This window comes from Homo sapiens, chromosome 2 (assembly GCF_000001405.40).
Source record: "Homo sapiens chromosome 2, GRCh38.p14 Primary Assembly".
Taxonomy (NCBI): domain Eukaryota; kingdom Metazoa; phylum Chordata; class Mammalia; order Primates; family Hominidae; genus Homo; species Homo sapiens.
The window spans coordinates 1,247,444-1,274,846 of NC_000002.12; the positions used below are offsets into that span (position 1 = coordinate 1,247,444).

Consider the following 27,403-nt stretch of genomic DNA (forward strand, 5'->3'; position numbering starts at 1 on the left):
GTAAGGATGCTTTTGACACTCCACAGGGAGGGGCTGCTGGGAGGGCTATTCCTGTAGGAGGGGGAAAGCTACATCTGGTGTTTGGAGGAGGACAGACAGAGTGCTTGGTCCTGCCGTTTGCTGTTTCTGCATGGTTGGAAAGGATTCTGCTTGTAGATTGCTTATTTCTTGCTCCAAATTTATAAATTAACCCATTTCTTTCTTTAGTTCAAATAGCCATTAAGATATTGTAGAGCTTATTCCTTCCTCAAATTCCAGCTGGTTTGGAGGTGGGATGCAGAGGCTCTGTGTCTTAGAGGATCAATTATGTAGTTGAAGAAGCCAAGAAACATACAAAATACAACCCTCTTTTTAGACGTTTCCAATTTCTAAATTTTAAAAGCTTTTATTCCCGGATGTCTCCCAAGTTTTATTTAAAAAATAAGCAGCCTGCTTTAGTGGGGTCCATAATATAAATTTATGGCTGAATGCTATCGTTCTGCAATTTCATTTTCCAGTGCCCACCGGTACCATTCTCCCCAAACTGACTGAATGTAATGTGTAATGTCTAGAAGTTTATCAATTTAAACAGCTTTACTTTTGAGAGTCTGACCATCAGAACTGCAAGCAAACTAAAAACCTGAGAGCTTCAGGTACCTACACGTTTTGGATGCATGTCACGTGCAGTGTTCATGGGACTTTTTTCCATTAAAAGGAAATGAAAAGATAAAACCAAGTTTTACCTCCAGACATCAAGACAGTAATACCCTGCCTGTCTTTTCGTTGATAAGGATGGCTTTTTAAGTAAGCGTTTTACTTGAGAATCATTTCAGATTTATGGAAAAGCTGCACATTGAGTGCAGAGAGCCCCGTCTGCCTCCACTCAGCTCCCCTGATTTACACAACTTACGTGGCCATGGAGCATCTGGCAAACCACCATTTGACAATGATGCAGCATTACTAACCACACTTCGCCCTCCAGTCAAACTTCAGTTTTTCTACTAATGCACTTTTTCTGCCCCAGAGATAACATAGGATATCATATTGGCTTTAGTTGCAAGGTTTTGAAATAAACCAGCACTTTGTGCTTATTGCACCTAAATGTTTGCATGAATAATGACTGAATTCCCCTCAAAACAAACATAACCATGTTCTTTAACATTTACTGCTAATTTGCTCCATATTTTCAAATTCAAGTCCCAGAGGTGAACGTCTGATTGGCTGGGCTGATTTTGTTTTTGAGCAGAGCTAAGATATTCATGCCAGCTCATCTCAGAGGTATTGAAAGACTCGGAGGAGGTGGCTGGCACCGCATGTACCCAACCTGGACCACGTACCACTGACACTGGAGATGCATGAAGGGGCTGAGGTGTCGGAGGACTTCCATGGACCCATATCACTCCATGTGTTACCTGTGTGGCCTGTTTACCAGTTGGCCTTTTATGGAACTCAGGGATTCTTCAAACCCTAATGGGCAGATCCTAATTCAATAACCATTGAAAAGCAAGGGTTCAAAACAGACAGGTTTCTTGGCCGTGGGTCTTCACGGAAGTTATGTCCTGCCTTGGGATGCTCCGAGTGCTGGTAGCATCCAACTCATCTCAGCAAGGCCCGGCTGGTAAACTGATTGCAGCGTCACAAAGTGTCCCTGGAATTGCTAACGTGCGTAAACTCCTTTGTAGCTTGTAGTGCACTTCTGTCCATTATATAATTTGATTCTTGAGACAACTGAAGGCCCCTCATTTTAGTGATGAGTGGCAAGAGCACACAATATCAGAGCTCCATCTTGATACATCGTAACTGTTTTATCATGGAGACCTATTGTAATATAAATCGATAACTAAAAATAGGTATTTTCATCTTAGCAACACATTGAACAGACACATTCACTTGCTTTTTTTTTCTCATTTGAGTCTTGCTTTTACAGATGAAGGTCATGTGTAAATAAAATAGTAAACAAATATACTTGACCGAGGATTGTTTTGGATAATTTATTTAAAATCCTCTCTTAATAGACTGTGGGTTGTATTAACTGCATTTAATACCAGAATATTCTTACAATGTACTGAAAATCCAGAGTGCAGGGAGTATACTCTCTCTGGTCTTCTTCCCCGGTGGGAACCACCTAAGTATGTGGCCTGTCATTGTTCTTCTTGATACTTGCTCTCATAATTTGTTTGAAACTGGCTGACTTTGCCTGAAAAAAGTAATAAATACAAATAAGCAACTTTCCTTCAGTATTCATTTGTATTCTGCTTAGTTGTAAATTATGAGACCCTGACTATGTTTGATTTTGAAATAATTCTTTTAAAGAAATCCTAATGTATCTAAATTTTAAGTTGTGCTTCTTTTTCTTCATACCTGCTGTGGGTAGAGAGTCCATTTCTTATTTTAAATGCAGTTTTGTTTTGTTAAAATGCAGGCGAGTCTTCCCTCAGGGCCCTGAGGTCGCTGCCACTCACACTGGCCGGGCAGTGCAGCATTTGCAAGGGACAGAGAATCATTTCCTGGGGGTCTGAAACCAGGATATGGTTGTGGAGAGTGAGGGCTGAGGAGGGCGCATGGCACTGGGGTGAGGACCAGGAACCTGCCCAAAGCCACAGGACCAGCCGTGCGTGCCGGGAAGCCAAAGTCACATTTCTATGTGTCCAGGAAGGAACTGGAAATCGCAGACTCCTCATTCACGTAGAGGAAGTGCCCACACCTTAGCCTGCTGGGTTGGTGCTTCCCTCCCCCAGGGCTGCCAGCCTCCTGCCCCTTCCTCTGGCCCACAAAGTCCGTGCTCTGTCTCCGCCACCTGGCTTTGCCATGGTTTGTTAGGGTTTCTTTCTTGGTCATTTAAACTATTTGAAAACAATAAAAAACTAGCAGACAAACCCTGTATGTTTCCTCTGGCAACATCTGCTTGTCCATTCCAGATGCTGCAGCTCCTCCCTCCATCTCTCTCCCTGTCTCTCTGTCTCTGTCTCTCTCTGTCTCTATTTATATCTCTTTCTATCCCTCTCTCTTTCTCCACCTGTCACTGTCTTTGTCTCTCTCTGTCTGACTCTCTCTGTGTCTCTTCCTCTGTCTGACTCATCTCTCTGTCTCTTTCTGTCGTCTCCTTCTCTGCCCACTCTTTGCTCCTCTCAAGGTCTCTCTCTTTCTCCATCTGTCTTTGTCTTTGTCTCTCTCTGTCTGACTCTATTTCTCTCTATCTCTGCCTTTCTCTCTGTCTCTCCTTCTCTGCCCTCTTTGCTCCTCTCGAGGTCTCTCTCTTTCTCCATCTGTCTCTGTCTTTGGCTCTCTCTGTTGGTCTCTCCCTCTCTTTGTCTTTCTCTCTGTCTCTCCTTCTCTGCCCACTCTTTGCTCTTCTCGAGGTCTCTTCCTTTACTTGCTTTCCAGTCCCTCAGAGACAGTTTCATCTTTGGTGTGGGAAACTGTGCCTTATCTTGTATTCATGGCCCCTTTCTTGTCTTTTCCTATAAAAGTTATCTATCGTCTCTTTCTCCTTCTGCATACACTCCGGAACATTCCTAGAACATGATTGTTTTCATTAACTTCTTATTTCTAGTAATTTCTGCAGAAGATGACTTGGCACCATCTCCATTCTCTCTTCAGAGCCATCAGCAGGGCTTCTTTCCATCATTGTGGTTCTGAAGGCCTCGCTATTCCTTGTAAAGGGTCAGCGAGGACCCGAATGAGCCTAGAGAGTAATTCTCAAGATTTCGTAAACCTGTGAAGTTGAATTAGCCCCAGATAGATTTACCATTAGGCTGCAATTTAAGGAAGCTGGATGTTACTCTAAAGTGTACGCATCCATCCAAAATGGTCATTGACAGTTTAGCTGCCCAGATCTCTGAAATATAAAAATTTTGTTATCCTCAAGTAAGCATAGTTTCATAATTTAAATTTTTAAGTATAAATATATAACTGTTAATTACACCAATATAGACTGCACAGTCTGTGAAGCTTTTGAGTCTAGTAGTGCTTAGGAAGCTCACATAGACCCACACACATGCACACACCACACACCACACACACCACACACTACACACACCACACACACACCACTCATGCACACACCACACGCACACCACATGCACACACCACACACATGCACATACCACACACATAACATATGCACACACCATACAAATAGAACACACACCTCCCACAGGCACATACCACACACACCACACTCATGCACACACCACACACACCGCACACACACCACACAAACCCCACACACACCACACATGCACACACCACACACACATCACATGCACACACCATGCACACCACACACACAACACAAATAGACACACACCCCCCACAGGCACACACCACACACACACTACACGCACACCACATCTGCACACCACTCATGCACACACCACACACACGTGCACACCACTCATGCACACACCACATGCACACCCCATGCACACACACCCAGACCATGGCGTGTGGATGTGAGAGGAGGGACTCCAGCCGGCAGTGATGCTCCCATTTGCTGAGATGGGAACTGTGGGATGTACTCATTGGTGAGTGCTGGATCTTTGTAAGTTTGAAATGTTTAAAGATTTCCAAAGGGAGGTTTTTGAGTAGAGTTAGATCCACCAGGCTTGAGTTCAGAGACAAGAACTGGGTAGCCATAGAAACTCTGGAGGCGCCCAGTACGCAGAGAGCTCCCGATGCTGTGAGGCTGCAGGAACCGTGAGTTGATCTAACTGGATCCTTGATGATCCACGAGAAAGAAGCCACTCATTTCTTCTGGATCTGGATAATTTGTACTTTTTCAGTGGTAATCAATAATACCAGTAATGCACTGGAGAGATAAAAAGGTGCAGGTTTTTATGAATATTCCATCCAAAAGTTAGATTGATTTGACTTGTTTTATCTGTATACTTCCCGATGACTTCATATAGTTTATAAATTTCTAGTGGTCTCCAACTGTCATTACTTAACGTCACCTGTAAAATGAGAATAGAGGACTGTAAATGCCTACCTGAGAGGGTTGTAGGGAGATTAAGGAAGGATGATTAGTACATTATAAATATCATACAATGGATCACTGGTGTGGAAGTTTTCTCTCTTGATAAAACACTGGAAATGCAATTTGGTTTCCATGGACCTGGGAGCTGCCTGTGCTGGGCTCCTGCTGCCTGCACCATGTCCAGCATCACCTCTGACATAGAGAAGATGCTGCCTGGTTACAGGTGGAATAATCTATAAAATCAGTACTGAGGCCTATTAATGCTTGGCGGTGGGCTGAGTGTTTTGCAGAGGTCATCAAGTCCTCTCTAATGAGAACATCAAGGAGAAATCAACCCCTCATATTTGCACTCCAGCCTGGAGAACAAGAGTGAAACTCTATTTCAAAGAAAAAAAGCTGTAAAAGCATTTGAATCTAACAGACAAAATCATGTATTAGTATTCACCAACTTCTCATTGCAAAATCAATACACACAATATGGTGAATAAATTTACATCTAAATATTTATAATGTATTAATATTTTTTCTGGCCTGACATTTTATATCCTGGCACTGGTGGCAATTTGCCAGTAGCAGTCTTACTTTGCCCAGATCTAAAACAACCTTATGTTAAGGTTTTAACATCAGTATCTTAAATGTATTTTATCCTGACATAAACATGAGGTTTTTGGATCAGAGACAGGTTGTTAATTACTCACAGAACGTCTCAATGCTGGTTCCCCATCCCTGCCCCAGAGTTCTGTGTGGGCAGAGATGTCAGCCATGGGAGAAGCACGTGGGGCCATGACTCTCGGAGCTCATATAGGATGCTCAGCACCCACCCACCCTCCTCCCCACAGAAGGAGAGACTCCCCCTTACTAACACCAATCAGACCTCTCTCAGGAGAGAAAGCCGAGGTCTCTCTTCCATCACACTTTGGAATATAAACCAAAGGCTTCAGGGGCCATCCGTGTAAATGTCCCTGAATGATTCACTATTGCCAACTCCCATGGCTGGGTCACTGCACCATCGTCCTTCATTCCAGGTGCCAGTGAGTGTTGCTCAGAAAGCCCTCACTATGCAATAATGTAGAAATATTCACAGAGCTTCGATTCTCAGCAGTCTACGTCAGAAAATTTTAGTGAATTTTACAAGGACCCAAAGATTATCATGGCAACTTAGGAAAAACTAAAAGGTAAAGTCCTTCTTTGAACGGTGGCTTTTGATCTCGTTCAAGATGAGGAAGAGGAAGAATATTGAAGGAGAATAGAGAAAAGAAGGTGTATTCGTCTGTGTTCACATTGCTCTAAAGAAATGCCTGATACTGGGTAGTTTATAAAGAAAAGAGGGTTAATTGGCCCACAGTTCCGCAAGCTGTACAGGAAGCACGTCTGGGGAAGCCTCAGGAAACTTACAGTGTGGCAGAAGGCAAAGGGGAAGTAGGCACATCTTACATGGCCAGAGAAGGAGGAAGAGAGGGAGCGGGAGGAGATGTCACACTTTTAAACAATCAGATCTCATGAGAACTGTATCACAAGAATAGAACCATGGCCAGAGAAGGAGGAAGAGAGGAAGGGAGAAGATGCCACACACTTGTAAACAGTCAGATCTCATGAAAACTCTATTAGGAGAACAGCACCAAAGGGCAAATCCACCCCCATGATGCAGTCACCTCCCACCAGGCTCCACCTCCAACAGTGAGGATTATAATTTGACATGAGATTTGGGCGGAGTCACAGACCCCAACCGTATCAGAAGGGAAATGGGATAGAAGAATGGAAAGGAGGAATTGGAGTGGAAAAAGCAGGTCCGTGTTTCACAGCTCAGTTGTTCCGTGAGGAGGGCCCGGCCCACCCTGGTGGGTCCCTAATCTCTGTCTTTCCCATGCACCAGGAGATGCTGGAAGAGCTGAGATTAAAGCCGGGACTCTCAACAACTCACACACCCTACTCTCCCTCGTTAGCCAGAGTATTTATTTCTGATTTGTACATTAGAATCTGAAAGATGTTTCAGTTATTCCTGTTTTCAAACATCATTAAAATGTGTCAAAATAAGTTATAAAGTCAATTTTACAGAATTGTATGGCATTAATATATCAATGATGTAGCAACTGCCTATGCATATGCAAGAATTATTAGCAATTTAAGACTATCAATTACATAGGTATATTCTATCATTAAAAATATTACTTGGAAAAAATAATTCAAATGAAGATTTGTAGATGGAGCAAACTATATTGTTCTGGGGCCACATATTCATTGTTCTATGATAACAGTCAAAGGTACCAAGTTATGGCATCTTGTAATCTACAATTTCGGCTCCATTTCAAGCCAAGTGTGGCCAGATACTTAGAAAATTGTCAATTGCCATTATTAGGAAAACCATAGTGATGATATATAGTTACAAAACCACCCATCTTGTCTACCATCCGTTACGTCTCTTTTGTTCCATGAGAGTCTGGAGAAAATCCAGGAATCTGCATACCTCGTGTTTCCTTGCCCTGGTGTTAAGTCACTGCTCTGAGGAAGAAGCATGATGGTAGAGCCAGTGGATCTCTCTCCGGACATGCAAAATCATTCCCCAGAGAAAATCGGCTGATAAAGTGCCTCAGAGAGGTTCACGCTGCATGGGCCCCTCTTAGCAGAGGGTTTCCCCTCTTTTAACATAAGAGGTGCGGTCCTGGAAAATCGTGTAAACTAAGCCATGATGACTGCATTAGGGAGCCCTGGATTTCAGGAAGTCGTGGCGTGGAGTCTGGATTTCAGGAAGCCATGGCGTGGAGCCAGTCATTTACCAAGTCAGGAATTCGTTTGTCCAATGAGCGGTGATTGAACACGCCTCTGCAGTAAGGAATTCGTTTGCAATTCACAGTGGCTGCTTCCATCCCACCCTCGGCCTTCCTTTCCTTTTAAAAGGTGTCAGGCTTCTTATCCTCAGGTTGTTTTCCCACAAGACCACCACGTCAGACTCCCCTCATAAAACATCAAGAACACCAATGTACCTATGAATCACCTGGGAATACTTCTTGAAAACACAGGCTGTGATATGGCAGGTCTGGTGCGGACCTGAGACTTGACATCACCAACAGGGACCCAGAGATGCCGAGGCTGTTGCTGGCCTTGCTGCACTTTGGGAGTCATGATGGATACATCAACAATAAATTGCTTAAAAATAAAAAGTCAAGATCTCTGAGCCTCACTCCAAACTTGCTAAATCTGAACCGCTTGGATGGGGCGCAGGAATCTGCATCGGCAGGTGACGCCTGGCCACACTCAGGCATGGCACAAACACACTAGGAGTGCCCTGCTTCAGAACAGTACTCCAGGCTTTCAGTATTGTCACTGCATCATGGGCTATGCACACCTAGAATTTTGAGCTTTACATTAATCTTCTAATTATATGTGTGTGTGTGTATATATATATATACACAAAGTTGTATGTATATATATATAAATATATATAAATATATATAAATATATATAAATATATATAAATATATATATAAATATATATAAATATATATATAAATATATATATAAATATATAAATATATAAATATATATATATATAACTACATGTGTTAATACACATACGTATGTATAGCCACGCATTGCTTAAGGACAGGTATATATTCCAGAAAATGCACAGTTAGGCAATTTTGTCGTTGTGCAAACATCATAGGGTGTATTTACAGAAACCTAGATGGGCTGTATATTTTTATTTATGTATATTTTCATATAGAAAACCAAATGTTTCGGCACCATTACTGCCTATGAGTTCCTTCCTCTAGTTGATCTGCAAGGCCAGGATCAAGTTCCATCGACCGGGTTTCTGTATATGCTCCATTAGAACCTATGGGGCCACCGTGGTCTGTGCAGTTCATTGTTAACTGAAGTGTCGTGACGTGGTGCATGACTGTATAGACACACACGCACACACATTTGTATATGCATACAGAGAGGGTTTTGACTAGCTTTCCTAACATTAAGCTCAATTTAGCCAAGTTTTTTCACTTTTGTTGCAGCAACCTACCTCCTATCTGAACTACAAGCTACGCAGAACCTAACCAACACACGAGATGCTCTTCTTGGATACCTTGGACATGGTTTTATCTTAAATAACCCCCTTCTGTTACATGGTCATGTTCGGCCTTGAATTGTTGTAGCCTAGATATTTTCTAGAGCTATAACTCGTGAAATAAAAAGTGAGAAGAGCCCTAATGGACATGATGAATTTTTTGGTGATTTTTTTTTTCTGGCAGAAACTCAGAGGAACCTGATGCCTGCACTTTCACTAAATTAGAGAAGCATTCACATCACATCCATGTAGGGAGAGGAAGGATATCTGTGAAAGGCTGGAGCCAGGCTGAGGGTGCTCTGCAGAAAGGATCACTCACATGAAGTCACCTGAGCTGCGTGTCAGCAGGGGGAAGCCGATGGCAGGGCCTCTGGGACTTGGAAGAGGGGAGGGAGACCTGCCACGGCTGTCAGGAAAAGCCTCAGGGCTGGGTCTGAGCTGAGTCCTTAAGCCATGCGGTTCAGGTAAGCAGGGAAAGAACAATGATGAGAAAGACCCACTTCTTCTTTTTTTTTTTTAATTAATACACTTGTTTTTTGGACGATTTTAGATTTACAGAAAACAGTGGAAGGTGAAGAGTAGCCTGTGCCCCTCACTGCCCCCACCTCCCCTGTTCCTAACACTTGCATCCTCTGGTACATTGTCACAGCCAGGAGCTAGTGTGGATACTGCCACACCCATAACATCCATGTGGCTCAAGGGGACTTCCCACAGCTCTCAGGGTGGCAGCATTTTCTTCAAGTCCACAATAGAAATGGTTCCATCCGAAGCCCGACCACCTTCTTACCTGTGTCTGCGATCGAGGCACATTCTCTTCCCTGAATCAATCATGTTGGCGAAGATGATGAGAATTCTGGCCTGAATTGTGTGTGGACTGCGCCTTGCCTCCCTGGGCTGTGGGCAAGGTCATAGCTCTGGGAGCGGAGAAGGGATCCCCAGGGGGAGACACGGCCACTGGCAGGAGGAATAAACGAGTAGGAGGAAGGCAGGACTACGGCAAAACCAGCAGACGCCACAGGGACGAACAGAAAGGGGCTTAATAAACAGATGATGGATGCAGCGGAAGGAGGGAGAGACTAGACCTGCTTCTGCGAACAACAAAGAGCACAGCCCCCTCCAAGCTTTGTCTTAGAACATGACTCAAATCCCTGCTGTTTTGTCACATATTGATATCAGACTAGTATGGAAAATGCATTCAATGTGACATAATCTAATACAGTGACCAGATATATTAATCACAGCACGATGACAGCGGTGAAAACCTAAAAGCAATCTACAATGTCCATCACAAAGATAAAGCTTACAAAAACCGTAACTCCACACGGAAATTCTAAGCTGTAGTTACAGTTGTATTTCTGAATAACATTTAATGACATGGGAAAATGCTGATATTACTAACTATATTTTGAAAAGTGTAAAACCATGAATATGCATAAGGTGTATTTATAGCAACAAGTAAACTTGGGAAGATGTCTCTGAATAGGGTGTTTAGTGGGTTTTTTTTCCCCTTTATATTTACAGCCTTCAAAAATAAGCAGCATTGTCCTAACTGGGAAAGATAAAAATGGTGGATCCACAATTCTGTATTTGCCAGTAATAAAACCAGCACCTGAGCTCTGACATTAGGCAGTAGCATAAAACACTGGCCAGGGTGGGAACGGGAGGAGTGGGAAGGGAGGGGCAGGTGCAGTGTTGAGGAATCAGCGGGCACTGCTGTGGAATTCAGGGTGATGTTTTATTTCAGGCATCCATCAGCATGGCTCCCCAGCTCTCAAGAGAAGGGGTGCTGGAGTTCTGGCTTTTAAACTCTGAAATAAGCACCTGAAACTCCCTCTAGCAAATTCGAGATGTAACTCTTATGGCCTGAATACCAGATCCAAAAGGAACCTTAAAGTTCGTATTCTAATTGGCCATTCTCACTTTCAAATTGTTCCCTTTACTTATTGTTTTATTGCCAAAATCACAATTGCAATGAGCTGACTCTAGGGCAATAAAATATTAAATAGCAAAACTATTTGTGTAACTTTCCACATTTCAGTTGTGATGACTTGAAAAATGTCTTGAAAATTTTGTTTGCTGCAAGGATTACCAGAAGGTCCCCAATTAATTAAAGCCAAGATAATTTCAGTGTTTCAAAGACATAATTCCGTGCACTTTGGATTATTTTTACTGGCTGAAGGAAAAAGTGCAGGGTCAACAATAAAAAACATCAAATTTGTTACATTGTTGAATATTTTAGATTTTTCTGCATGAAATATTTTAACTTAGAGATTAAATATCTGAGCTTGAATTGTGAAACATACAGCATTATTCGACAGTGAGATTAGTTTGGCCATTATTATTGTTAAAATAGTTGTGAACTACAACAGCTCAGACCAACGAAAAATGTATTCAATTAAATTGGTTAGTAGATTTTTCATTCATTTCTGAAACAGAACTAAGTTTAGTTCTAAAAAGCAAAAGACTGTCTACACAATATTTTCTGTCCATTTTTGTACTCCAGTAAATATATAAACTCATTCACTTTCACATGCATTAAATGTTACCCAAAATTAATCCCTAATTTAATCTAAAAGGAATCCAAAATGGTTTTCTAAAATTATGCCCAATTGCATGTGATAGACAAGATATCATAGATATCAATCTTATCTATCTAAGATAAGATAAAGGAGATAGACGTTTTCCTGTCGGTAAAGGATCTATTATATTTGCCACAAACTGACAAAGATGAGGATGTGGCAACTCATCAAAACTCACAGCAGTACGTAAAGTTTAATGTTACCAATTTATACTAATGGGGCTTAGGATTTAATTGAGGTGGACACACATGCAGTCACACTATTGTAAATTTTTAAATTTTTCAACTAAAAGTAGCATGCTGCTTTTCATGGAACGTTCTCTGTTTCTTGCAGGTGAGCACATTCGATTGGGTGCGAGCAGAAAGGACCTATCACCTCTGTGAGGTGCTATTTAAAGTTCACAAGGTAGGTATCTTTTGCACTTCAGATGCTTTCATACAAATAAGATGCCCTTTGGGCTTGCAGAATGAGAGGATTGTTTGTTCTGCGTGGTCCATTGAAATAGTAAAATTTGAAATAGTAAAATAATGTGACGATCTGGACCCATTCTCCTGCCCTACCTGGTACATGGGTTCTAGCTGTCACCCTGTTGCTTATCAAGGCAGGATGAATGGATGACAGGGTGTGTCTGTGTTTATGTGGTATGTGGTGTTTGTGTGTGTTTTACGGGAGAGATGTGTTTTATGACATCCACTTACAATCATTTATTCCAAGAACTTTAGATTTTGTTACTGCTGCTGCTGTTATTGAAATTGTTTTCAACAAATCAGATACAAATTTGCCCCAGGGTCTGGCCAGTTTGCTGCTCATGGTTCCTAGGGTAGGTAAGGACTGAGCCTTCCTCCAGGGGACACACCTCACTGGTGGGGCTGCCCGGAGCCTGGAGGTGCAGCAGGGCCCTAGCCCAGGCCCCCGCCCACCTGACTGCAGAGGTGTCTCCACAGCAAGGCGACGATGCGCTCACCGTGGCCGGGTGCCACCGTGTCCTAGTATGTGACTCAGTGCATCATGTAAACAAACCACCTGTGTCTTTTTCATGTAGGAGTACACAAAACAGAGACAAATAGGAATATTAAGTGAAAGTTTAAATGTACGTACCTTTTAGTCTGAGAATTTGACTGTAAAGAGTTATCAGTCTAAAGTTAGAAGTTTTGAATAAAGATTTGTCTTTCAAAGTTTGGTTTGTTTTCTTAAATTGAAAATATCCTCAAAAATAATATTCTCTATCTGTAGTTGCTTTATTTTAAATTTAAATCTGGAATTTCAGACTGCCTTTAATGGAAACATGTACAAGGGAAATACATTTCCATAATAATATTATCAAATGATAAATACATTTATTTCCCATTTTTGAAAAATTTATTTGGGCAACATTTTTCTGCATTGTTCCTACTTTTGTTGAATATGGTAATGAAGGAGATGAAGGAAAAGGCCGGATGTATTTAAATTAAGACTCCTAATTACAGGTTGTAATAAACAATCATTGATCAGAAAGTGAACATTTCTGTGCTAGGCATATTCATTAAAAAATGGAGGAAAATAGAATAAAACATTAACTGTGGTTTTCTCTCAGTGATGGCTTTTCTAGTTATTGTTGCTTTCATTTTAAAAATTATTCTGTTTTCGAAATTATCTGTGACAGGAATGCATTATTTTGAAAATGGCAAAAAGGAAGCCTTATGTTAACATGAGCCTCTTGGTCGTAGATGATATGCAGGTCATTTCATCCATCACATTTCCACAGAAGAATTCGTAGAAGAATTCTTGGCCTTTTTGTTTCCTTCGCATGGGCTCCTCATCAACACATTTTCGCTTCTCCCCCCTCTTGTTTCAGAGGATTCTCCTTCCGTGCACCTGAGATGTTCTTTAGGTACTGGGGTGTCTTTGAGAGATTATTGTATCTTACATATGTGGTTCATTAGTAAGCTATAGAGCCATCTCATTTTCCCAGGAAGATTATAAAAAAATTTTAGTCAGTAAATATTATATGAAGTATTTATGAAATCATGAAATTAGCCAGTAGAATGGCTATGGCAAAGGTATTAAACTAAAAAATGGGGTAAATAATAATAAATCTATGGCATTCAATATTTTTAAAAAAGAGATTAAATTATATGAGTTGAATGTCCTATTTGGAAGTCTTAAAATAGTGATCTTACAAAATCATATTGACTGCTTTTACACGCATTTAATTGCTGATGTTTATCATTTAGCATACATAAATTTAAAAGTAAATGCATTCAGTTCATTTTCAGAAATGTAAATAAATATGTGAGTATCATAAGAACTAATACTTTTTCATATAGATTCTTTAAATATCCATAATTACCATTTCAAAGTACACTCATTAATATTTAGACCAGAAATCAAATTCTGAAGTTGTGATTTTGTTTTTTCTCTGATACCTTCTAAAAATTACTTTTCCCAACTCTTAAAATTATGTGTTCTGTATTTCAACACTCATCACGAAATAGATGAGAAAATTGCACCAATCAGCCTTGATTGCAGTCGTGAGAGAAATGATAAACAGCTTTCGTGCAGCATGGCAGAAAAGCACTCTGGACACTATGGAGCGTCCTGTGTGAAATCCACGGGTCCATCCTCTCAACCTAAAGATACCCCATTAAATTTTCAGGAAAAGTCAATATTCTCATATGTTTGGCAGAAGATCTTAGTAATGATAGCTGTCTTTATTGAGTACTTCCCTAGGAACCTTGCTAAGCACTTAGCTATGTCCTTGAGTTAATTCTCTCCCCACCTAAGGAGCACTCTGTTTTGTAGCTAAGAACTCAGAAGCAGGGAAGTGGACGAGGACTTTCCAGAAGCCAAGCAGAGACAGGGATGGGGCCCAGACTCACGTGGCTGCAAAGCTCATCCCGAATCCCGCTCTATTCCACGTGCTAGAAGCAGTGGTGTTCCGGGAGCCTGTCGCGAGTGGCCGTTAAGAGTTCTAGAACGTGTTCTCCACGGATCTTCGGGGTAGTCCTGTTTGGATAATATCAACACTGAGAGGAAGAATTCCTAAATGATTTTCCTAAAGCCATGTCAGGACAAAACTGCACCAGAGTTAAAGGCGAAGAAGGCAAGAAGACCTTATTCAAGTCTATTATGATAGGAGAGAGAGAGAGATTCAGAGATTCAACTCCACTGAAACAAAGGATGAGAGGGTTTCTACAAGTTGGGATGGGAAGGAGATTAGGGCCATCATTGTCTGTTAATTGGCCTCCTGCAAAGAAACAGAGAGCTTCCCCCATCTTCATGACAGGAGGTGGTTGCACAGCTTAGAGCCAAGCACCCACCAAGGCTGGGCTCCATCCTTCCACAGGGACAGGAGATGACGCCATCTTGCCAGTGATCACATTTTGAAGGGACAGCTCCCAGCTCCTTGAGAAAGACAGTCCTGGGTTGTACAGCCAGCAAGAGACTTCTAGAAAGATTCAGGTATCAAATGGCAGAGAAAGAACATACAATAATACATTTTCTAAAGCAAATGCTCTAAAGATAGGGAGTTCCAGGTCCCAGAGGTGGGAAGAAGCCGGGTCAAGTCTCAGTCCAGACGAGGAAACCCAAAGGCTCAGTCCAGACGAGGAAACCCAAAGGCTCAGTCCAGACGTAGTAACCGGAAGGCTCAGTCCAGACGAGGCAACCGGAAGGCTCCGTCCAGACGAGGCAACCGGAAGGCTCCGTCCAGACGAGGCAACCGGAAGGCTCCGTGCAGACGAGGCAACCCGAAGGCTCCGTGCAGACGAGGTAACCGGAAGGCTCGGTCCAGACGACGAAACCCGAAGGCTCGGTCCAGACGAGGAAACCCGATGGCCTAGCCAGCCGCTGACTGACTGTTGACGGCAAGCCGCTGACCTTGAACTTCAGTGCTCAGGGTTTCCAGTCGTATCAACACACTGCGATCCACAAGGTCTGAGTGATTGTTTTTAAAGGAGCTACAGGAACTATCTGGGGAAATGAGCTATATATGAATAATTAATTTTCCTTTTGTAGAACTTACAACACATTCTTTGTGAGGCTAAACAGTGGAAAAACAATCCCTTGCTTGATCAAGCAGTCTCACTCCTCAGAATTGAATCTAAAGAAGAGTCCATTACAACACTGAGTTCAGAGGAATCAAAGAGCTATATGTATGAGAATGTTTAAGGATATTCCTTAAATTAATGATATTTGAAGAATAATCAAAAGACCATTGAGAAATATTTTAAAATCTTACAACATATTTTAAGTAATTCTACTATAAATTTATACAGTTATATGTACAAATTCACATTGCATGAAAGAGAATATTAATTATTGTCCTATTATTAAGGTTATATTAATAATTATTGACATATTTTTAAAAATCAGATGACAAAACATAGTAATAAGTTTATCTTTTAAATTCCCTTTATTGTTGCTATAATTGTTTCATAATAAATATAAATAGAAAAAATATGTAATTTTAGAATACAACCCTTTTTGTTTTTTTCAGGAAAGGGAACATAATAAGATGATGTCTTGCAGTCCTAGGTGGGGGGTGGGCTTTCTTCAGTCGTGGGGGTGGCTGGAAATGCTGTTCTGGATATTGCCAGAGCTGACCCTGCCAGGAAGCCAGGTAGCTGCAAAGCAGACATCAAATCGACATGTACGGCCTGGCTCAGCATTGCCTTAGGACGTGTGTCTTTATGAAAGCACGTAGTGAACTCATGTGAATCCGGGATGTGAGCCCTGCATGCTGGCCACTCTGTCATGTGAAGTTATGACAACATTTTTATCACGATTCCATTTCACAGCTCAAAAGTGGAGGCTCTGAGAGAGTGAATTGCTCAAGATCAAACAGCTAATACTGGGCAAAGAAAGGCCTCAAATTTTATCTGACTCCAAAACCTGGTGTTCTTCTATTATAATACACAGCTGCCCAAATATAGCAAGTGATAGGAAAGAAACACAATTGACCTTTGAACAATATGGGCTTGAACTGCGTGGGCTCATTTGTATGCCAATTGTTTTCTATAAGTATGTTGGAAAATTTTTTGAAAACAATTTAACAATTGTAAAAACCTCTTAAGACAAACTGTGTAGCTTAAAAATATCAAAACATTAAGAAAAAGTTAGAGATGTCGTGAATTCATACAATATATGTAGATACTAGTCTATTTCATCATTTACTCCTGTAAAATATAAATCAATCAATTTGGCACCATCTGCAGTGGAGAGGAATATAGACAAAGGTAAAGATGCAGCGTTCAATCATTCCTGCCCATGGTTAACTGGAGCACATAGTGTGACATGGGTTTCTGAGTAAAATGTCTTAATCATCCCTGTGGAAGCAATTTCTCTCTCCAGTAAATTGCAGAGCATGGTAACGAGTGATCTCTCAGAGTTCTTGTGTACCTTCCCTCCTTCGTGTTGAGTCCAGTAACGTAAACCTTGAATAACACCCCGGGACCCACACGAAGTGCCACAAGGGATGTTGCAAGTGCCCCAAGAAGCGGGAATATCACAGCATTGCCAAAAAGCTGAATTGTTTGCTGTGCACCACAGATTGAGGTCTGCAGCGTGGTTGCCACCATTTCAGACCATTCATCTCATAAACAGATGATGTAAACTTATGGTGTCAATAAATACAGTGCAGTGCTCTAAGTATATCTTCTCTTCCCTGTGATTTTCTCAATAACATTCTCTATTCTCTAGCTTACTTTCTTAATTCATTTATTTATTTAGAGATAGGATCTTGCTGTGTCATCCAGGCTGGTCTTAAATTCCTGGGCTCCAGTGATGCCCCTGCCTCAGCCTCCCAATTAGTTGTGATTACAGGTGTAAGCCACTGTGCCTGAATTCACTTATTCTATTCTAAGAATGTAGTATATTATACGTATAACATACAGAATATGTGTTAATTGACTGTTCATGTTATTAGTAAAGCTTCTGATCAACAATAGACTACTAGTAGTTAAGTTTTAGGGGAGTCAAAAGTTATGCATGAATCTTCAACTGCGTGAGAGTTGGCGCCCCTAACCCCTGGGTTGTTCAAGGCCCAACTATAATGAGCCATTCAATGGGGGATGTGCGTTCCCACATAAATATCTTCCAAAAGTTTTTCTTTATCAGTTTTGACATTTAAGTTCAGTGGATAAAGAGATACTTTCTGCACCATAAGGTCAATGATGAACATGTTGTTCTTGGTTTGTGACGTGTAACCCTATAGGTTCCAGGTATCCCAGCTGAAGGAGACGATCCAGAGGGCCCCAGAATTAAAGTGCAGTTTCTGTACTCAAGGCTCATTTAGGGTTAGCAACGTATGCACACTACACACATTCACGTACACACACATTCATGTTCACATACATTTCCACACATACACATGTTCATGTGTGCACACACATTCTCATGTGCACACATACACACACACATGTTCTCACGTGCACACACCACAAGGCATTTGATGTCTGGATGATGCACAGGGATAAATGTGCAATGCTCTCCATGATCAGAGGGTCATCCTGCAGAGCCATCTGCGGGGCCAGGAGAGCCAGGGCATCCCCCCGGAGAGTCCAGAAGGCCCACCTGAGACACACCAGTCGTAGCTTTTACCTCAAACCTGTGCCTAGAGTGCATGTGTCAGCATATTTCAAGTAAAACTATTTGGCCAACTGCTGAGTTCATGTGGATTTTGGGACTGGACCTTGAGCGTAAGTGTGAGTGGGGACTGTCCAGCTTGGCTGGTTGGCACAAGTGAATGGAGATATCTCAGAATCATGATGGGAAGACCCAGCAGGTGGGCAGCTCCCCTTCCTTTCTGCTGCCATATGCAGGGCTGTGGGTGAACACCACATTCTCATTCAGGACTTTGGAAACCCCAGCCCAGGTGTCTCCCCTTGTTTCCCTTCACTGGGGAGAGACTGGTGCAGCAAAATTGATGTTGGGGTGCAGCGTCCCAGGAAGGTGTCTGGTGGGGGCTCTTCAGGGTGGATCTGTGGACCAGTAAATGAATGGGTGAGCTGAGAACTGAGGTGGGTCCAGAGAGAGACAGACAGAGACAGAGAGAAGGATAGAGAGAGACAGAGAAACAGACATAAAATAGAGAAACAGAATGACAGAAATGGAGAGAGAGAAAGAGACACAAAGAGAGACAGAGACATAGAAATGGAGACAGAGAGAGAGAGAGAGACAGACAGAGACAGAGAGGTGCCAGCCAGGTATTGAGTGCGCGTTCACCATGCACCTCCATGCTGTTGACCTAGTAATTGTGACAACTGGGACCCCCAGTCTTTCTCTTCTGCCCTTGATAAAATGAATCCCGAAGTGGGGTGCAACCTTGCAGATGGGGGAAAGAAGTGGGGAGCTCCCCAGGCTGCTCCATGCAGCACAGGCTGGCAGCATCCGAATCGCCGAGTGATTAATAGACGTGCTGTAAGTAACTTACATCTCTGGGTTAAACGATTAACCAGAAATGGAACAACATCATTACATCATTCCCTTTGTCAGGCCTTTGGGTTGGCAGAATGAGCTCCTGGGTGGCCGGGTGCCTTGTCATGCTTCAGAGGCGTTTTGGGCACTCGGTCCTTTATCTCAGGACAATGAACCCGCAAGGAGAGGAAGAGCCAGTAATTCTATAGAGACTCGGAGGCGCAGGGGGCACGCTTAGTTAGAGTGGTGGTGGTATTTTCAGTGTTTTCTGGTTTTATGATAAACACAAGCATCAATGTCTCAAGACTTTCATCTTTATCTTTTTTTTTTTTTTCTTGAGACAGGGTTTCCCTCTGTCACCCAGGCTGGAGTGCATTGGTGGTGTGATCTTGGCTTTCTGTAACCTCGGGCTTCTGGGCTCAAGCCGTTCTACTACCTCAGCCTCCCAAATAGCTAGAACTACAAGCGTGTGCTGCCACACCTGGCTAATTTGTTGTATTTTATTTATTCATTTATTTTTGTGAAGACAAGGTCTTGCCATGTTGCCCAGGCTGGTCTCAGACTCCTGGGCTCAAGCAATCCACCCACCTTAGTCTCCCAAAGTGCTGGGATTACAGGCGTGAGCCACCACACCCAGCTTCATCTTTCTCTTCACCGTAAAACAGGAAAGTGTGTGGTGACCAGTATTTTAAGGGAAAGGCACTTACAGAGAATTAAGCATTTGACAAAATTTATTTACAGATATTTGTCTGTGGACCACTTCCGCACCAGCTGTGCATGAGAGGGCTCATTGCTCTGAATTTGCCTCCTTGTCTGCACCCAGGAGACCGTTTCCCAGATCACGCAAACGCTGCCTTCTCCCCACACCAGGGCCCTCAGCATGGGAATGACCTTCCAGCGCTGCACGTTTCCAATCCATGCTCTGTTTTTCAGTTCTGGCTCACAGAGGACTGCTGGTTGCAAGCAAACTTGTATCTGGGTCTTCAAGATTTTGACTTTGAGGACCAGAGGCCCTATTGCTTCAGCATCGTGGCCGGCCATGGGAAGAGCCATGTTTTCAACGTGGAGCTTGGCAGCGAGCTGGCCATGTGGGAGAAGTCCTTCCAAAGAGCCACGTTCATGGAAGTTCAGAGAACCGGGGTAAGTGAACAACTCACACTCTTCTCACCTACACCTGCTCGGGTGTCTGAGACATAGCATTGGGGAATATGTAGCAGTTTATCGGGGGAAAAGAGGAATCTTCAGAAGGTGAGAATCTTTCACCGGAGCTACTGTGTGGAAATGATCGTTCGCACGGAGTCATGCGCTCCGTGGATAAATATGAGCTGTAGTGGAAGGGAAGGGGAGGAGAGGATTTTGTGTCTGTGTCTACATTGAATGTGAGGAACGGGCTGCATCGCTTTCCAGGAAGGGACTCCACCGATGTGGCGCTCAAGTTCCTGAGAAGTGATGACACTTCTAGCCTGTGCTCCGGGAGACAGAACACCTAGCTTACAAATGAGTATAATGTGTCGTGCAGTTACTTGGATGTTTGTAATATTTTAAGGCACTTTAATGGTTCTTCCTCTCAAACTTGATGGTCCGAAGGAGAATATAAAACAGCTTGTGTGTCTGAATTGCTTTTCTCTTCCTGACAACAGCAAATACATCACTCACAAATTTGAATGTATACCATGTGAAGGGATGAGGAAGAATGCATTATAATCCTCCTTATCCTAAATAGCGGGATGATCCTTCAGGGAGGATGTGTGCTGCAGGAATGAAGAGTGACAGGAGATAAATGAGGCAGCGCATCCCAGAGGAGCTCTGACTTCACACCAAAGTCCAGGGCTCCCGCCTGGCTGAGCGCGGAGAATGCTGAGTGTGAACTTAGTAACTAAAGATGGCTACTTCATTTAAATATACATATATACCTTGAATGTGAAACTATTCTGTGTTATTTATCTTTCATTCACGTTGTCAAAATGTATCCAGGCTCCTTGGCATGCCATCACAGAGCACGAAGCTTCCCTGTAACTAATGCACACTGAGATCTCTTAGTCCACAGAATGAAGTCACACCCAGATCTTCATAGAAACTGATGCCAATGTTTATTCTCATTTATCCCAGGCTGCTGTGATTTTCCCCTCAAATTGGGCACCCTAAATTGGAATTATGGTTGATTCCTGATGCTTAAAGTAACCTTTATATTTGAAGCATCCAATTCATTAACCATTATAGAACATTACATGCTGGAAAGAAAATTACTAAACATAGGATCCTTCATCTCAGGGACTTACTCAAATGTATAGTGGCATTTAGCCACTTAGAAACCATCAGCACTAAAGGTTCAAGTCGTTAAAAGGCAAAGTGAAAGAGCGTTTCTGGGACAAGGTGACCTTTCTGCTTGTTTTCTTTAGATGATAGCAGTAATCATTTTGCTTTCAACATAAATACCGGAGAAGTAGAGAGAATTCTCCATTCGCGTGTGTGTGCAGGGCTGCCCCACACCCTCTAGTGCCCCAGGGCCCATGCCTGGCTGAGCAGAGTCCCGGTGGCCATTCAGACTCATCTATGGGAAGGTGACAGGTTACAGGAGAAGATATCCTGAATAAGAGCAATCATAGAATTACAGTGTTGGAGGGAGGGTGAAAGGTTAGTAATTTCATCTAGTACCCAGATGTAGTGAAATGAATGTCTGAAGCATTCTAGAGGGTGAAAGTTTATTTAGGATTCCTAAAAAATAGAATTTCTTTATGAATAGTCCTTCCTTATGTTTCGTACTGTCCTTATTCCACTAAAGGGGGTGAAGTCTGCGCACGGTGGTTCATGCCTGTAATCCTAGCCCTTCTGGAGGCTAAGAAAAGAGGATCCCTTGAGCCTCAGAATTAGAGACCAGCCCAGGCAACCAAGCCCAAGAAACCTAGAAGCCCCATCTCTGCAAAAAATAATAATAAAATATTAGCCAGGCATGGTAGCTGATGCCTGTAGTTCCAGCTACTCAGAAGGCTGAGTGGGGAGGATCTCTTAGGTCCAAGAGTTTGAGGCTGCAGTGAGCTATGATGGCACCACTGCACTCCAGCCTGGGCCACAGAGTGAGACCCTGTCTCAAAAAAAAAGGTATAGGGTAGGGTGGGAGTGGGGTCAGAGCTGGGGTTGGACTTTAATGGTCAGGACATCTTTCCTAGAGGAAGTGGTTAGTCTCTTTTAAAAATCGTTGGTGTCTTGCACAGGTGGAGAAGAGAAGGCATTCCCAGTGGGAAGCATTGAAAAATTAGGCTAATGCTCCATTTGGCAGAATGAAAGATCTAAGATTCAGGCTAGGACTCAGCAGGCAGCAATGTGCCCAGGTGAATTTTAGAGGAAACATTTTCAATAATCCAGGATTGAGATAATGAAGACCTTTCGTGGGGAATGGAGGCAATGAGGGTGTTAACAAGCCGGCACACCTGCAGAGACTGTAAGTGGGTGTGGGCATCCATCCACGTTTCTGCAGGACTGGGTAGAGTGGGGCTGTGGGGGCCGTGATGACCACTGTTGGGAAGAACTTCTGGGGCCGTGCCATGCTGCCCATGACTGACTTGCCGGATCTTCACAACTCAGCAAAGTGGATGCCCTCAAAGAAGCCCCGGGTGGATGCTTCCTTGTGCAGGGTGGCAAGGTCATGCAAGACCTCTCAGGGCATTGAATTCCCAATTTACGCCTCACTCAGGACCTGTGTTTCAGGAACCCACCCTGCAGGCATTTCCTGAGCTCCACCCCAGGTAGTGACCTGACTCCTATCAGATCTGCCCATGGTGTCCTGGGAGGGACAAAGCATTTCAAAATTAGATGGACTCACTCCCTCTTCATGAATTAGAGAAAATACTTCTCCAAAACTCCATTACATAAACTGTAAATTATTATAACTCATCATGGAGTACTTATAAAATTATATTACATTTAGTAATATCTGTAAATGAATTAAGTCAAACGCCTAATACTCTATACTAGGCTGGATGCATTGCACGTACATCATTTAACTTTTTTAATACATCTAAGATGCAGTTGTTCTTTTCTTTTCCCTTTTATTTTACAAATGGTAAATGAAAGTTCAGAAGGGCTATGTTACTTCTCCACAGTCACCTAGAGACTAAACCACAATGGCAGGATCTACGCAAGATTTCAAGAATTGCTGTCTTGAGAGTCACGTTCTTTCTGCTGAAACATTCAGCCTCACATGTGACAGAAACAAAATAGTGAGAAGGTGCCTAGAACAGTCCCCGGCATACTTCAAACTCTCCGTAAATGTGTTCTTCTTGATTCAGTAGCACTGCTGGATTTCTTTTCTCCACCTTCTGTCTCTGTTTTGCTTGTTTTGCTAGTTTTTTCTACTATTTCCTGACTTTGATCGTATTCCAACCCGACTTGCAATTTTAAATCTCCAGAATAATTACATGTGTATAGTGTTGATAGCACTGATTTTTCTTTACTAATTGTAACACTTTTCCAGCAGTGATTAGCGTGTTCATTCCTTCTCTAAAAGGATTTCTGAAAGGAAAGCCCTGCATCCTTCACAGGCTCTGGATCTAAACTGATGACATTCCTTCACAGTCGTTTCTGAATGCACCTATGTGAGGTCAGTACATTTTACAGAAAAGTTCTCCATCATCAGGATAGTAGCTTCATGCAAGTCCTTGACTGCCTTATCAACATTATTACTCTCTTAAATAATATCTACATTACAAATATCGTTCCAAGTTATCCAGAATTCAGTGTCACACACATGCATAAGAGAATAACAGACCTTCCATGTTCCAGCCTCTCCATCCCTGCCTCCCAAGCTGAGGTACAAATGCCAATATTATGTTATATAATCTTCAAACTGTTTTTACACATACTCAAGTATATTTTTTCCTTTTTATTGAAAAGTCATCACATATGCATGTTGTTCTGCAATTTACAAGACTTTTGTACATTTTCATGTCAATTTATCTAAATTTGTATGTCAATTTATTTAAATTCTAACAGGACATTGCAATGTCCTGTTAGAATTTAAAATTAAAAATGTATATCTTTCCTAATAGCAACACAAAAACACAAAGTATAAAATATCTATCAGATAGGATGCCTTTGGCTACAAGTAAGAGAAAGTTCTTGACTCACCCAACAATAAACAATACCTATTGTTGCTATTATTTTCCATAACAAGGTTTCCATACTCCACCTTGCTGAGTTTTGAGGTCTAGATTGTGCCTCGGTGTGGCTCCCCTCCCAGTCATAAGATGCTTGTGGAAGCAACAAGCATTCATGTCGGTGTTCAGGGGAGGCAGAAAATGGCCTCCATAACCCATTGAGGATGTCCCCTTCAGCCTAGCTGTGCCAGCCTAGGTCATGAGCCCATCAGACCAAAGTACTCGTCTAGGGAATGCCATTGGCTGATTGGCTTCTCATCAAGGGAACACCATTGGCTAATTGGCTTCTCATCAAGGGAATGCCATTGGCTGATTGGCTTCTCGTCAAGGAAACACCATTGGCTGATTGGCTTCTCGTCAAGGGAACGCTATTGGATGATTGGCTTCTGTGAACCAACATCCACCCTGGGGACTGGAAATGAAGTCAGCAACGGTCCCAACCTTTATGGTGCCAGGGACCGGTTTTGTGAATGACAGTTTTTCCACGGACAGGGCCAGGGGGATGGTTTGGGGATGATTCAAGCACATTACATTTATTGTGCACTTTATTTCTATTATTATTACATTGCAATCTGTAATGAAATAATTATACAACCCGCCATAATGCAGAATCAGTGAGGTCCCTGAGTTTGTGTTCCTGCAACTAGACGGTCCCATCTGGGGGGATGGGAGACAGTGAAAGATCCTCAGGCATTAGGTTCTCATAAGGAGTGTGCCACCGAGATCCCTCACAGGTGCAGTTCACAATAGGGTTCCCGCTCCTGTGAGAATCTAATACTTCTGCTCATCTGACAGGAGGCAGAGGTCAGGTGGTAATGCTCACTAACCCAGCTCCTGCTGTGAGGCCCAGTTCCTAACAGGCCACAGACTGGTACTGGTAAAAAAAAAAAAAAAAAAAAAAGGATTCTGTTAGGACATCCCAGGAGCAGGTGTAGAAAGGACATCCCAGGAAACAGGTACAGAAAGGACACCCCAGGGAACAGGTGTAGAAAGGATATCCCAGGGAGCAGGTGTAGAAAGGACACCCCAGGGAACAGGTGTAGAAAGGACACCCCAGGGAAAAAGTGTAGAAAGGACATCCCAGGGAGCGGGTGTAGAAAGGACACCCCAGGGAGCGGGTGCAGAAAGGACACCCCAGGGAGCGGGTGCAGAAAGGACACCCCAGGGAGCGGGTGCAGAAAGGACACCCCAGGGAGCGGGTGCAGAAAGGACACCCCAGGGAGCGGGTGCAGAAAGGGCATCCCAGGGAAGAGGTGTAGAAAGGACATCCCACGGAGAAGGTGCAGAACTGGAGGACAACAGTGTCTCCTGCGGTGCCTGAACAAAAAGCATTCTCATCAAATTCAGCTTTCTCCTTTGCAAGACAGTTTCACGAGATCACGTTTATGAAATTTTCCTAGGTCTGTGTGTGCTATACGGATGCGCACCATCACCATCACCGCGCAGTGGGTCTCCTGTTAGAGGAGCCGGTCACGCACGGTGCTCCGTGGATTTTCCACTGCCAAGTCCTGACGAGCACGCCCCTGCCTGCCCGCCTCGGGGAACGGGACCTCACTGAGGCAAACCAAGCTGTCATCCTTCCACACAGCTCCCTTGGTAGGAGCATTCTCCCTAATGGGCCCGTCTTTCCCTCCTGCTCCATTTCTGGACTTAGGTTTGCTCTCTGGTCTGAGCTGCTCTCACAGAACACCAATCTCTTCTGCCTGTTTCCAAGTTTCAGAAATTTTTCTGATAATTTCTCCTTTTTGTTTATAAAGACTCCCCAAAGACTATTCTTGTTCACACACAGGTTAATATTCTGGTATTAGTAGTTGCTTGATATCAGGTGCAACAGAATTTTAAGCAAATCAAGGTGGCTCTGTGATTCATTAATGCCTTTACCACTCCTACCGTACTATCAAGACAAGCACAGCCAAAAAGAGATTCTGTGTATGGCAGATGTGCAAAGGCAATTCAGTGGAGAAAGGAAAGCCTTCTGGACAAATTATGCTGGGATAATTGGATGCCTATATACGAAAAAAAGAACTTTGACTCATTATATACATAAATATTATATATATATATATAAGTATAAACTCAAAATGAATATAGAATGAAATATAAGTACAAAACTATAAAACTTTTAGAAGAATAAACAGCATAAAGTCTTTGTGACCTCTGGTTATGCAAATATTTCTCAGATACAAAACCAGAAGCACAAACCATGAAAAAAAATTGATAATTTAGACTTGCAATTAAAAGCAACTATTATTTGAAAAACACTGCTAATATAATGAAGAGAAGATATGAAAACTGGGAGAAAATATTTGCAAGGCATATAACTGGCAAAGGACTTCTATATGTAATGCATAAAAAGATCTCAAAGCTCAATGATTAGAAAAACAATAAGAAATTTGGGAAAAGGCTTGAATAAACACTTCAAAAAAGATTTCTAGATGGGAAATAGGTAGGTTGAAATATGCTCCAAATCATTAGCATGTAGGGAAGTGCAAATTAAAACAGTGAAATCTCACAGCACACATATTAGAATGAGTAAATTTTAAAAGACTGATGATGCCAAGTGTTGGTGAAGGAACTGGAACTCTCATTCACTGTTGGTGGCTGTGGAAAATGGCACACCCAGCTTGACAGTGTCTTAAATGTAAAGACAAATTCGCCACAAGATCCAGAAACTTTCTCGTTACCCTGGTGTATGCAAAAATGCTCATAACAGCTTCATTTGTAAACAACAATAACTAAAAACAGCCCAAATGGTCACTGATGTAGGAATCTATCAAAAATGTGTGTGTATCTATATAAAGGAGTGGAATTCATCAACAGAAAGAATGAATTATTGGCATATGCAATGATGTGGAACACTCTCCAAGCAACAAGAGTACATTCTGTCTAATTTCCAGAGCAATAGTTTAATTTTAATGAGGTCCACTTCATTGAGTTTTTCTTTCACGGATTGTGTTTTTGGTGTCACACCTAAGAACTTACCCTTCCACCCTCGATCAGGATGATTCTGCCCTGGATTTTGTTCTAAGAACTCACCATTCTGCCCTCGATCAGGATGATTCTGCCCTGGATTTTGTTCTAAGAACTCACCATTCTGCCCTCGATCAGGACGTTTCTGCCTGGATTTTGTTGTAGGAGCATGACCATTGCACATTCACATTTGTCACTGGTGTGGTAATGTGTGCCAAGGTAGATGGAAGGGGAATCGGCCTGGCTGCTGGGCCCCTGCACAAAGGCTCAGTGGGAGAGTCTTAGTTTATTT

The 27,403-nt window shown here is 42.6% G+C and overlaps 1 protein-coding gene and 1 long non-coding RNA gene across 13 annotated transcripts in view, besides 2 other annotated features; one reads left to right on the forward strand and one right to left on the reverse strand.

Annotated features, from left to right (window-relative positions):
- The window catches only part of SNTG2 (syntrophin gamma 2), a 416,765-nt gene that overhangs the window by 296,595 nt on the left and 92,767 nt on the right, over positions 1 to 27,403 (forward strand). For 7 of the 12 annotated variants that reach the window (NM_018968.4, XM_017004362.1, XM_017004365.2 and 4 more), the window contains 2 exons: positions 11,927 to 11,998; positions 19,922 to 20,128. In NM_018968.4, the coding sequence (NP_061841.2) occupies positions 11,927 to 11,998; positions 19,922 to 20,128 (279 nt within the window). Of the gene's footprint in view, positions 1 to 497; positions 2,212 to 8,961; positions 9,168 to 11,926; positions 11,999 to 19,921; positions 20,129 to 20,628; positions 21,907 to 27,403 lie in introns of those variants that run through there. The other 5 variants (XM_047444795.1, XM_017004368.2, XM_017004366.2 and 2 more) reach the window with 4 other exon arrangements.
- LOC124905965 (uncharacterized) lies at positions 4,808 to 14,975 on the reverse strand. Its single transcript, XR_007086184.1, has 3 exons — positions 14,893 to 14,975; positions 14,452 to 14,578; positions 4,808 to 4,934 (listed from the first exon to the last, which is right to left on the reverse strand). It is a non-coding gene; the product is annotated as an uncharacterized LOC124905965 (long non-coding RNA).
- Positions 9,629 to 9,784: a silencer, noted in NCBI's record as "fragment chr2:1260844-1260999 (GRCh37/hg19 assembly coordinates)". NCBI's record gives its function as "represses an EF-1alpha promoter that drives an FKBP-Casp9 reporter gene in an ReSE screen in HepG2 liver carcinoma cells {active_cell/tissue: HepG2}" and the evidence as "EXISTENCE:reporter gene assay evidence [ECO:0000049][PMID:32094911]".
- Positions 13,954 to 15,153: an enhancer, noted in NCBI's record as "BRD4-independent group 4 enhancer chr2:1265169-1266368 (GRCh37/hg19 assembly coordinates)". NCBI's record gives its function as "activates an origin of replication core promoter dependent on BRD2, P300/CBP, MED14 and CDK7 cofactors, and independent of BRD4, by STARR-seq in HCT116 cells {active_cell/tissue: HCT116}" and the evidence as "EXISTENCE:reporter gene assay evidence [ECO:0000049][PMID:35650434]".